This window comes from Homo sapiens, chromosome 20 (genome assembly GCF_000001405.40).
Source record: "Homo sapiens chromosome 20, GRCh38.p14 Primary Assembly".
Taxonomy (NCBI): Eukaryota; Metazoa; Chordata; class Mammalia; order Primates; family Hominidae; genus Homo; species Homo sapiens.
The window spans coordinates 34,916,130-34,928,166 of NC_000020.11; the positions used below are offsets into that span (position 1 = coordinate 34,916,130).

At 47.0% G+C, this 12,037-nt stretch overlaps 1 protein-coding gene across 13 annotated transcripts in view, besides 1 other annotated feature; it reads left to right on the top strand.

Annotated features, from left to right (window-relative positions):
- Positions 1-11,830, top strand: part of ACSS2 (acyl-CoA synthetase short chain family member 2) — a 52,971-nt gene extending 41,141 nt beyond the window's left edge. For 7 of the 13 annotated variants that reach the window (XM_011528909.3, XM_011528911.2, XM_047440293.1 and 4 more), the window contains 12 exons: positions 3,306-3,443; positions 4,410-4,580; positions 4,877-5,010; positions 5,201-5,333; positions 5,415-5,471; positions 5,657-5,737; positions 5,834-5,863; positions 7,194-7,302; positions 9,569-9,637; positions 9,976-10,152; positions 10,748-10,822; positions 10,958-11,830. In XM_011528909.3, the coding sequence (XP_011527211.1) occupies positions 3,306-3,443; positions 4,410-4,580; positions 4,877-5,010; positions 5,201-5,333; positions 5,415-5,471; positions 5,657-5,737; positions 5,834-5,863; positions 7,194-7,302; positions 9,569-9,637; positions 9,976-10,152; positions 10,748-10,822; positions 10,958-11,085 (1,302 nt within the window). In that variant the 3' untranslated portion in view covers positions 11,086-11,830. The remainder of the gene's footprint in view (positions 1-3,305; positions 3,444-4,409; positions 4,581-4,876; positions 5,011-5,200; positions 5,334-5,414; positions 5,472-5,656; positions 5,738-5,833; positions 5,864-7,193; positions 7,303-9,568; positions 9,638-9,975; positions 10,153-10,747; positions 10,823-10,957) is intronic. The other 6 variants (NM_001242393.2, XM_047440294.1, XM_011528906.2 and 3 more) reach the window with 1 other exon arrangement.
- Positions 4,711-5,910: an enhancer, noted in NCBI's record as "CDK7 strongly-dependent group 2 enhancer chr20:33508643-33509842 (GRCh37/hg19 assembly coordinates)". NCBI's record gives its function as "activates an origin of replication core promoter dependent on BRD2, BRD4, P300/CBP, MED14 and CDK7 cofactors, with strong dependence on CDK7, by STARR-seq in HCT116 cells {active_cell/tissue: HCT116}" and the evidence as "EXISTENCE:reporter gene assay evidence [ECO:0000049][PMID:35650434]".

Genomic DNA, 12,037 nt, shown 5'->3' on the forward strand with positions numbered 1-12,037 from the left:
GCATGGCGGAGACAGATCTGATTCCTAGGGCATACTGCTTTCCTTTTAAAACTCAGGCAGGACCTACACCCTTTCTTTTGAAAGAGGTGACAAACTTAGTGGCTTAAATTGTAATCTCTGGAGCCAGATTACTTGGGTTCAAATCCTGGCTCTGCCATCTGCTGCTGTGTAAACTTGAACAAATTACTTAAGCTCTCTCGCTTGTTTCTCCATCTGTAAGATAAGGATAATAATTATACCTATGTTATCGGGTTTTGTCAATATATGTAAGGTGTTTGGCACATAGTAACTACTCAATAAATGTTAGCTGTTTTTTCCTTCCCCTTAATGCAACAGACAGATTGGCATTTCTAAAACAGAGACCAGAAAAGAAATAACAAACTCTTGTAATTCTTAATACCAGAGACCTTCAGGCCAAAGGCTACTGGATTTTTGTTTCTTGGAGGTGAAAATAACCAGTTTCCAAAATACCAAAGAGCATAAAAATAGGCTTAAAAAGTCCAGGTTGTTGGTCTGAGAATTGCAGTCAAAGCTGCAAAAATCTTTCTGACAATGGGCCCCATATTTAAAAATTAAAAAATAGTTTTCAAAAGAGCTGCAAAAATCCTGGCAGGGCTCCAAACCCCTTTATCCTTAAACAATCTTCCAGGGAGATCCTGGCAGGGTTTGCAGGGACCCTCCTCAACCATATCGTCTATGAGCTCCCTCATATTCCTCTCCCGTACATGGCAGCTGCCCTCCTTGAGACTATCCTGGTCCAAGGACAAAGGCCAACTCCTCAATTCTTATTTTAGAAAATTCAGACCTTTTCCTGGTGCAGAGCCTGGGGCCTCATAGGCACACACCTAATTCACAATCAAAGGTTGCTTTGCTAATTGAGTTCACTCTGCTTCCTGGTGCTAGTTATCAGTTCCACACCTGGAGTACTCTGACCCCTCCACCTCTATATACACACCCACCCACAAAAGAAATAATAAGATTATAAGAGTGCCCTCATTGCAGAGCCACAGTTGTAACTATGCCTTGTCCTTACATGTACTTAGTGCCTGTTCTGTGGCAGTTCACAGTGCTGTAGACCAGCACCATTTGTCCAAAGCAGTATTGATACTTCTGGTTGAATACCTTAGTGCCCCCATCTCAAGTGATCATTTGGCAGGAAAAAAAGTACCCATGTGACAATGTATGTGTAGATGCATATGGATAGACCAAATCAGGTGTGTTCTTATGTTTTCTAACCGTAGGCAGCTTTCTCTCTCTTCTTCCTTTTTCTAGGCTTGTCGTTTTTATGATGTTGATAATCCAGAAATTTCAAATTCTCTACCATAAGGGGCAGGTGGTACAGAAAGAACGGAGTGGTTAGAGAGTCATTTTCTAATTTATCAAGCTATATATCTAACACTCCAGAAGTTTTTTTAACCAAATATGCACACAACAAATTAGCATATATCCTTATAATGGGAGAATGGCATTTATCTTACACCATCATGTCTACCTGCCAGCCAGGGCCATTGAACATACAAGAATCTAATTAATATGAAAGGACTTTGTGACAGCTAAAGCAAACCCCAAACAGTTCCTATCATCACACTCTTAAGTTTTTGTGGGTTTTTTTTGTTGTTTTTGTTTTTGTTTTTGTTTTTTGAGATGGAGTCTCACTCTGTCGCTCAGGCTGAAGTACAGTGGTACGATCTCGGCTTACTGCAACTTCTGCTTCCTGGTTTCAAGTGATTCTCCTGCCTCACCCTCCCAAGTAGCTGGGATTACAGGTGTCTACCACCACGCCTGGCTACTTTTTGTATTTTTAGTAGAGATGAGGTTTCACCATGTTGGCCAGGCTGGTCTTGAACTCACTCCTCACCTCAGGTGATCTGCCCACTTTGGCCTCCCAAAGTGCTGGGATTACAGGCGTGAGCCACCGCGCCCAGCCCCACACTCTTAAGTTTAACTCCCAGTAGTCACTGAACTAACCTCTGTCTCTCCTGACATTCATCAGTCTTCCTCATCTCACCCCAACCTCTACCCTTGGGGCAATCCAAGGCTTGATGTTTACTAGATAATACTTTTTTCTTTTGGTGTTTACCACATCCTGTGAGTCTGTTAAGGCAAGAATGACTGTCCTCATTTGTAAAAGGAGAGACTTAAGGTAAAGTGATTTGCCCAAGGTCATATAGCTAGGAAGTGGCAGAACTGGTATTGAAGTACACTGAAGATTTTGGACAAATTCAAGGGATCTAACTTCATTCAGCAGATGGTAGACTCAAAATTGGTGTTCAAAGAGGTGATATAGACAGAAAAGTAAAACAGTTTCAAAGGAGAATTTAGAGAAGTTTCAGGATGACAGATCCAGAAGTAATTATCAAAGGCATAGGGGGACATCCTTCTACTGGGAGAAGTCCACCTTGGTCCTTCTTCACCAACTTGAAGCAAAGCTTCCTGCTGAATGGAACCTGTCCCCTCAAGCAAAAGTCTCTATGGGAAACCCTATTGGTACCAGTGGTGTAAAGGCAGGAGCAGAGCTAGGGTAGGAAACACGCAGATGTGGATTGGGTCTGGACATGTAGGCAAAAGTGCTTGGACCAAGATCTGTTGACTTATTTTACTACTAACAGGGTCAGGTGCCCACCTCACCTGTAAGCTCTGACTAATTTTGCATTTCTGAATTGTGTGGTGTCCGCATCCCTGCTAATGAGCCTAGTCCCATAAGTACATATGTATGTATGTAGACCTGTGTGTGCATAGTCATTCATCCAACAAAAATTGACTGAGTGCCAGGCACTTTGCTAGGTGTTGGGAGATATGGCAGGGGTCGGGAGGAAAGACATTTCACCTCCTTCATAGATGTCGCTATCTAGATGGGGAGACAGTAATCAAGTAGACAACTAAACAAAATAACAGGAAATATGTACTGTGTGGGAAAGAAACATGGTGTTGTGATCAATAATAATAGCAGGGTTGGGGGTAGCAATCTATCAGATACTGTTCAGGTAAAGGCTTTCCAAGAAGGTGACATTTCAGCTCAGAATTGAAGGATGGGAAGGGACCAGCCAAGGGTTCCTCCTCAGCCTGAGGCCAGGTGAGAGGAGTTCTGGGGTAGAGATGGGGGTAGGATGGCAGGGTGGTTGGAGTACTCAGTAAGCTTGGGTTCTGCTCCTGTTCTTTCTGTTCCATTCCATCCTTGAAGGGCCTTCTCTCCCTTCCTGTACTCCTACCTGCCTGTCCCACCTCATTCCCTCCAGGGGCAAGGTACGGGTGTATCTTGTCCCCATCTTGAGCTGTTCACAGTTCTTCCCTGCCCATCCCTGCAGATCTCATGGAACCAAGGGATTGACTTGTGGTGGCATGAGCTCATGCAAGAGGCAGGGGATGAGTGTGAGCCCGAGTGGTGTGATGCCGAGGACCCACTCTTCATCCTGTACACCAGTGGCTCCACAGGCAAACCCAAGGCAAGTGTGTGTGTGTGTGTGTGTGTGTGTGTGTGTGTGTGTGTGTGTATTATGTAGGGGTAAGAAGTAAGTTTCTGAGGAAACAAGTAATGAAATTATTTTTTTCCTACAACCCTGAGTTTTGGAAATGTAGCATTGTCTTTTCTAAATCAAATTAAGACATAAATCCTCAATCTATAGGTGGTGAGGCCCAGGGTGAGACAGTTCAGGTGGAGGGTTTTCATACAGCTGACATGGATGTTCTTTCCCTATGCACCCATGGTTTGGTTGAAGGAGAGCTATTCTGTTAACTCAAGGCCAAGGGTGGGCACAGAGATCCCTCTCAGGCTTCTAAGACCATAACTCTTAGAGTTCAATTCCTTCCACCTGGCACACTATTAACATGTAGTCCTCTGCCAGCACACACCATGGGAGCCGGAAACACTTAAGAAAACTGTTTCTTCCATTGACTTGAAAGCTATGTCACTCTACCTTCTGCCCACTCCACCCCTAAATTATCTCCATATGCTTTGGAATATCCCTCAATAAGTCTTTAGAAACACAATTTTGGCCTCTCTTTCATAGAGATGGGGGTAGGGATGGAATAAGCAAAGGGAATTATCTTTTTTTTCCCACTCACTCTGATGGTGTGTAATTGAGTGTGTGGGCACAAATACACAACAGAGGGACTATTATGAGTGTGCTATGAGTGCTCATGTGTGAGTGATGTGGGTGGCTCTGAAATACCATCTGAGGGTGCTGGTATGAATGATGGCCTGATAGACATATGTGTCATCAGGAGTGTGATAAAGGAGATGAGATGGGAGCATGGAGAAAAGGAGATGGAAGGGAGATGGATGCTGTGAAAAGGGTGCTGGCAGGGCTGGAATCCCTGAGGAGGATCTTCCTCCAGCTCTGCCCAGCCTCCATTTGGTGGTCAGTAGGGGTGGGCATAAGACCCTAACCTGTTCCCCATTCTTCCCACAGGGTGTGGTTCACACAGTTGGGGGCTACATGCTCTATGTAGCCACAACCTTCAAGTATGTGTTTGACTTCCATGCAGAGGATGTGTTCTGGTGCACGGCAGACATTGGTTGGATCACTGGTCATTCCTACGTCACCTATGGGCCACTGGCCAATGGTGCCACCAGTGTTTTGGTGAGAAGGGAGCCACCTGGCCTAGCTGGGGGATGGACAAGATTATCCTGGGTGACTACCTCCCAAGGCTGCTTGGTCTAGAGGGAGGGGGACTTATACAATCATCTGTTTTCTGGAGAAAGAGAAGTCCTGAGGGGGTTGCGTATCCTGACTAGGATGGTATCTTGGCTTGTCTGGCCAGGGAGTGAAGATATGGTTGGTCAGAAAGGGCAAAATACTGAACCTGAGGGAATGGTAGGGGGATGAATAGAAGGACTATTAGGAAAGACTGGGAATGACCAGCCTTCATGGGTCAGTTTGAGGGGATTCCCACATATCCGGACGTGAACCGCCTGTGGAGCATTGTGGACAAATACAAGGTGACCAAGTTCTACACAGCACCCACAGCCATCCGTCTGCTCATGAAGTTTGGAGATGAGCCTGTCACCAAGTGAGACCTCTTCCCAGTTGCTGCCCTGTGGGTATCCCTCAGAGCTGGGTGCTGGCCTTTGTACAGTCTCTTCTTTTCCATTGTCCCAACTCTCTGACCTGGAATAGAGGATGGGGCAAGAGAAAAGCCTGGGTATGTGTGTCTTCCAGTAGTACTCAGAGCCTTCCTCTCTCCCATTCCCCTGCCCCAGGCATAGCCGGGCATCCTTGCAGGTGTTAGGCACAGTGGGTGAACCCATCAACCCTGAGGCCTGGCTATGGTACCACCGGGTGGTAGGTGCCCAGCGCTGCCCCATCGTGGACACCTTCTGGCAAACAGAGACAGTGAGTGAAGGGTACAGAAGGCTGGGGCCCAGGGACAATGTGGGAAGATTGACTCAAATTTCTCATCTCTGACTTCCCCAGGGTGGCCACATGTTGACTCCCCTTCCTGGTGCCACACCCATGAAACCCGGTTCTGCTGTGAGTGATGCTTCCCTGGCTGGTCTTGGGCTAGGCAGGGATGGTGTCTTGGGGCACTTGGCCTAGTTAGATAGTGGAGAACTGGACTGACATGTGTGAAGAATTTGGGGTTCTGGGGCCCCTTGGGAGTTGAGTCAGAGTTGCCTCATTCCTCTTCTTGGGTTCTGTCTCCCGTTTGCTTCTAGACTTTCCCATTCTTTGGTGTAGCTCCTGCAATCCTGAATGAGTCCGGGGAAGAGTTGGAAGGTGAAGCTGAAGGTTATCTGGTGAGGCCCTGGCCCTTGGGAGTCTTTAAGGAGAGAGGGAAAGGGTCTGCCAAGGGTACTTTGCTTTAGAGTTAATAACCTAATCTCTCCTGGTAGCTGCTTAGGACTGAAACTTCATGGTTGGAGGTTTGCTCACTGAGAGACCCTGGAGGGGACCCTCGATACTTTGCCTGCATCTCTTCCTTTTGGGCCATAAGTCTCCTAAGGGCGTTTTAAGAGTTGCTCAGATTCCTGATGGTACCTTTTTGGGTCTGGAAGACTAAGTCCCATCTTCTTTTGACAAAGATTCTACAGAAAGGAGGCTTTATAACATAGTAGAAAATCACGTAGGATCTGGAGTCACCCTGCCTGGGTTCGAATCCTAGCTCTGCCTCTTCTGTGACCTCAGATAAGTTATTTAACACCTCTGAATCTACATTTTCTAATTTGTAAAATAGGGTTAAAGTGGTGTCTCTGGCCGGGCACGGTGGCTCACACCTGTAATCCTAGCACTTTGGGAGGCTGAGGTGGGCGGATCACCTGAGGCCAGGAGTGCAAGACCAGCCTGGCCAACATGGTGAAACCCCGTCTTTACCAAAAATACAAAAAGTAACTGGGCGTGGTGGTGGACGTCTGTAATCCCAGCTACACGGGAGGCTGAGACAGGAGAATCACTTGAACCGGGGAGGTGGAGGTTGTATTGAGCCGAAATTGTGCCATTGCACTTCATCCTGGGCAACAAGAGCAAAATTCCGTCTCAGAAAAAAATAATGCCTTTGTCTCCTATGGTTGCTTGCTTGATTGAGTTAGATAATCCACATGAAGGGGTTAGCAGAGAAACTAACAATTAGTACTTGATAAACATTAGCTGTTGTGATTATTGTATTCATACTTGCAGGAGCCTCACCTGTCCCTTCAACCCCACCCCATTTCACTTTCCCAAGAGCAAGTTAGTAACAGGGACAGGGCTTACATCCAGGCCTTCTGACTCAGCCTAGAATTCCATCCATTCCATCGATCTGCTGCCAAAGAATGTTACTGATTGGGCAATAATTATTTACTTGGTGTGTGGGCACCACTGTTTTTTAAATGAGTGTTTTCATTTGTATCAAACTGGACCTGCTTTCCTCAAGGATTGCCCAAAAGGAGACACAAATTTACTAAACACTTATCAATAATAGAACACCGTGCTAGGCAATTTCCATATACTATTAATTTAATCCTCACAATAACTTTGGAAGACAGAAAGTATTTTCTCTGATTTACAGATGAGGATCCTGAAGCTCAGAGGGGTAAAGTTACTTCTCTGAGGTCACCTAGCTAGTAAGTGGTAGAGCTGGGATTCCAAGCCAGGATCCTCTGTCTCCAAAGCCTGTACTTCATTCAGGACACTTTCCCCCACATTTAGAAAAGCTGTAATTATCTTCCAGTGAGACAGCATAGCAAATGTGATCACTGTCCCTTCCTCACTCCCCAGGTGTTCAAGCAGCCCTGGCCAGGGATCATGCGCACAGTCTATGGGAACCACGAACGCTTTGAGACAACCTACTTTAAGAAGTTTCCTGGATACTATGTTACAGGAGATGGTGAGCCTTAGCTATCCCCCTCTTGCACCTCCCACTAAGACATGTACCTTCCACTTCCATTTTCAGGAAGAGTTGGTGTGTTGCTATAAAATAATACCTGAGACTGGGTGATTTATAAAGAAAAGAGGTTTATTTTGGATCATCATTCTTCAGGCTGTGCAGGAAGCATGGTGCTGGCATCTGCCTATGGTGAGGCCTCAGGTAGCTTCCAATCACGGCAGAAAGCAAAGGGAAAGCCAGTGTTTGACATGGCAAGAGAGGAAGCAAGGGAGAGAGGGAGGAGATACCAGCCTCTTTTAAACAACCAGATCTTACATGAACTCATAGAGTTACTGCAAGTACAGCACCAAGCCATTCATGAGGGATCTGTCCCCCCCGCCCCCCCCACCTCCCCGGCCTTGACCAAAACACCTCCCACCAGGCCCCACCTCTAACACTGGGGATCATATTTCAACATGAGATTTGGAAGGGACAAACATCCAAACTATATCAGTTGGTTAGGGGTAAAGAAAATTAGAGAAGAATGTGTCCTACATGTCAGTATCTGGTTTCTACGCAGAGCTACAAAGACTGTAAGGGCAGGAATGAGTATAGCAGGAGGGGTCTCAGAATGGTGCCATCCGAACTTTGATGTATGAGGAAAGATGGACAATGTATGCTCCTGTGTTGAAAGAGATGGGGCATGTGGCAGTGCATGACTATTATGTCATGTTTGTCTTTATGTCTGGAGTCTGTGTTTCTCCATCTATCCATCTACCAATCCATTCATCCATAAGATCTGAGCACTGTGATCCTGTGCCCAGGCACTGATCATGAATAATGTAGTCAAAATCTCCTCCCTCATGGGGATTCTAGTAAGGGGAGACAGACAAACCCAACAAACATAAATAAGCTTATCTTAGATAGAGATAAATGCTGTTAAGAAAAATAAACAGGGTAGCATGATAGTGTGTGCAGGGATGGCTACTGTACACAGGATCGTCGGAGAAGACTTCTCTGAATTGACATTTGAGCAGAGGCCTGAAGGGTGAGAAGGAAACAGGCATGGGAAAATCTAGAGTAAGAGTGTTTTGTGCAGAGGGACACAGCTTGAGATGTCTGAAGAATGGACTGAAGCCTGTGTGGCTGGAGCGTAGCAAGCAAAGGGAAGAATATTACATGACGTTGGAGACGTACATAATACAGGGAGGGTCTTGTGGGCCATGGTGAGGAGTTTGAATTTTATTCAAAGTACAGTGGGAAACCTTTTTTTTGTTGTTGTTGTTGTTGTTGTTTGTTTTTTTTTTGAGACAGAATCTCACTCTGTCACCCAGGCTGGAGTGCGGTGGCACGACCTCAGCTCACTGCAACCTCCACCTCCCGGGTTCAAGCAATTCTCCTGCCTCAGCTTCTCAAGTAGCTGGGATTACAGGCGGGTGCCACCATGCCTGGCTAATTTTTGTATTTTTAGTAGAGACGGGGTTTCACCATGTTGGCCATGTTGGTCTCGAACTCCTGATCCACCCACCTTGGCCTCCCAAAGTGCTGGGATTACAGGCATGAGCCACCATGCCTGGCCACCTTTTGGGGTTTTAAGCAGGGGAGTGCTAAGAATTGATTTACTGTTTAGAAAATAACTTTGCTGGATTTATGGAGAATAGAGTTTAGGTGAGTATACTATTGGCATGGAACAAATTATCCCAAAAGTTGGCAGCTTAAAATAACAAATATTATCTCACACAGTTTCTGAGGATCAGGAGTCTGTGAACAGTTTCACTGGGTAGTTCTCATTCTGGGTCTCTTGTGAGTTTCAGTCAAGCTGTTGGTAGGGCCTGTAGTCATCTGAAGGTTTGAGTGAGCCTGGAGGACCTACGTTCATGCTTACTCGCATGGTTGTTAGCAGGAATCCTCAGTTCCTCACCTCACCATAGGACTACTCAATACATGGCAGCTAGCTTACCCTACAGCAAATGATCTGAGACAATGCAACCGAGACAAGCTAGGTGTCTTCTACAACCTAATCTCAGAAGTGACATCCTATCACTTCTGCCAAATCCTATGATGACACAGACTAACCCTAGTACAATGAGAAAGAGGACTGCAGGGCTATGAATACCAAGAGGCAGAGATCAGTGGTGCCCTCTTGGAGGCTGGCTACTACAGTGGGCAAGAGTGGAAGCAGGAAGACTTGTTAGAAGGCTATTGCAGAAGGTGTAGCAGTTTGGTAATGTGGATCAGGTATCCTACCGTAGGGTTTTTATTTATTAGGTTTTGCATTTCTTCCCAGGCTGCCAGCGGGACCAGGATGGCTATTACTGGATCACTGGCAGGATTGATGACATGCTCAATGTATCTGGTGAGGGCCAGGGGCCACCTTCCCATCTTATTAACTCTGCTCCTCTGACAACACCCAGCCGAAGCCTTCCGCAAGAGCCCAGGAGTGTCCTTTGGCCAGACCATGTACTAAGTGTAGCATTCAGTTCTGGGCCCAGGTTTTAGAGGAGTAATGAACACTGGAATGTGCCTAGAGTAGGGGAACTTGGATGGTGGGGTGACTGAAAGCATGTCATCTGAGGAGTGAATGAAGGGTCTTCTCCATTTGGCCAGACCAGGACTGCCCCATGGGTACAGATGGAGCATGGGCTGGGGCAGAGCCTGGGATCTCTCTCATGGCACTTCCTTTCCCTTGACAAGGACACCTGCTGAGTACAGCAGAGGTGGAGTCAGCACTTGTGGAACATGAGGCTGTTGCAGAGGCAGCTGTGGTGGGCCACCCTCATCCTGTGAAGGGTGAATGCCTCTACTGCTTTGTCACCTTGTGTGATGGCCACACCTTCAGCCCCAAGCTCACCGAGGAGCTCAAGAAGCAGAGTAAGGAGCCTCCCTGGGCAGGGACTATAGGGTCTGTCTTGGAGGCCCAGTTATCACTGCAAGTTGTTGGGGAGGGGCTAGAGCAAGCTGCTCCCCAAACCACAAACAGATTCCAGGGGGCCCCATGGGCTGATTGCCCTCTTCCTGTTCAGTCTCCACTAGTCTCCCACTAGGATAATAATAATAGCCAACATTTCTAGAATACTTTGTGCCACCGCTAGGCTAAGTGCTTTAAATGAATTACCCCACTTAATCCCTAGAGTCACCTCCATGAAACAGATCTTATTGTTACCTTCATGCTAAAGATGATGAAACTGAGACTCATGGAAGTTAAATCACTTGCCCAAGGCCACACTGCTAGAAAGGTGGCATTTAAACTCTAGCAGGCTCATTCTACAGCCTGAGTTCCATAAGATAAAATGAGAGAGTAAAGAGACAAGTGTGTTGAGAGCAAGAGAAGCAGTGAACCTGAGGCTGTCTCTGTGGGCAGGGACTTGAGGAGGAAACAGGTGGGGAACAAAGCCATCTCTACTTTGATTTTTGAAAAGTCTGGCTAAGGGTGCTGAAGAAATGCTTGATGATTTGTTGGTTACAGTTAGAGAAAAGATTGGCCCCATTGCCACACCAGACTACATCCAGAATGCACCTGGCTTGCCTAAAACCCGCTCAGGTATGTTCAGAGGCCTCCATGGATTGGGATGGGCTGAGGCCTGGTGGTGGTGGGGTGTGCGTGGATGAAAGCCTTTGGCAGGGCTAGGGTGGGTCAGTGCTTTCACCAAGTAACTAGAGGTCTGTGGTTCCCCAGGGAAAATCATGAGGCGAGTGCTTCGGAAGATTGCTCAGAATGACCATGACCTCGGGGACATGTCTACTGTGGCTGACCCATCTGTCATCAGTCACCTCTTCAGCCACCGCTGCCTGACCATCCAGTGAACATGATCCTGACCTTTACCTAGGATTCCTCCTGCTCCAAACTTTGCCCATCCTCTTTGCCCCCTCAGGAGTGCTGAGGGCCAGTGTTGACCCACACTACCCTCCCTTGACCAGCTGTCTGGGACCGGAAACCAGCTTTGTCTCCAGGTAGAGACAACATCCTGTGACTGCCAGGCAGAAAGGACAGGGCCCAGGTCAGCCTCAGTCTGCTGTGCCTCCAGACTGCAGAGCTCTCAGAACCCAGAACAGAGACGAAAAGGCTACCTCTCCTACCCAAGTTAAGTGTTCAAAGGGGATGTGAGGGCCTCCACTGAAGCAGGGAGGCAGCTGTGTAATCCTATGTCAGCTCTCTTAGGAAGCCCCAGTACTTATATTGGGCATGCACTTGCCCTTAAAAACAATGATTTGTGAGTCCAGGAACAATTTACTATTTTTAAAATATTTTGCTGCTTCTGTTCTGGGTCTGAATTCCCTTTTGTGCCAGATGCCAGTACTGTCTGCCCATTGGCTCCAGGGGCTGTATGGGCAGATTCAGTCTCCAGAGGGTATTCAGATCATCTGCTTCTTTGAAGGAGTAAATGTGTTTTGTTCCTAGGGCCAGAGGAGCTTGTCTTCCTTGTCCTCTGTTCCCACCCTCCCCTGAACAGAACCCAGCCCATAAGAGACATTCTCAGATGAAACTCTGTTTTCTTGCCCCAGTCAGGCTCAAGCCCTGTGGTTGTAGGAATAAAGCCTGTGATCTCAAGAAGTGGTGACTTGTTTTCTTAGGTATCTGTGCCCTGAGGCTGTATATTCATTAGTGGCTCTGATTTGTGTGGCAGATGGGAAGGGAGGGGTATTTCCTAGGACTATCCCCAATATCTTCCTTCTAGAACTTTTGGTTTGGGCAGAGCGAAGGAGGCTTCACTGACAGGGCCTTTGACAAGCCCCTGAGCTAAGCAGGAAAGTGACT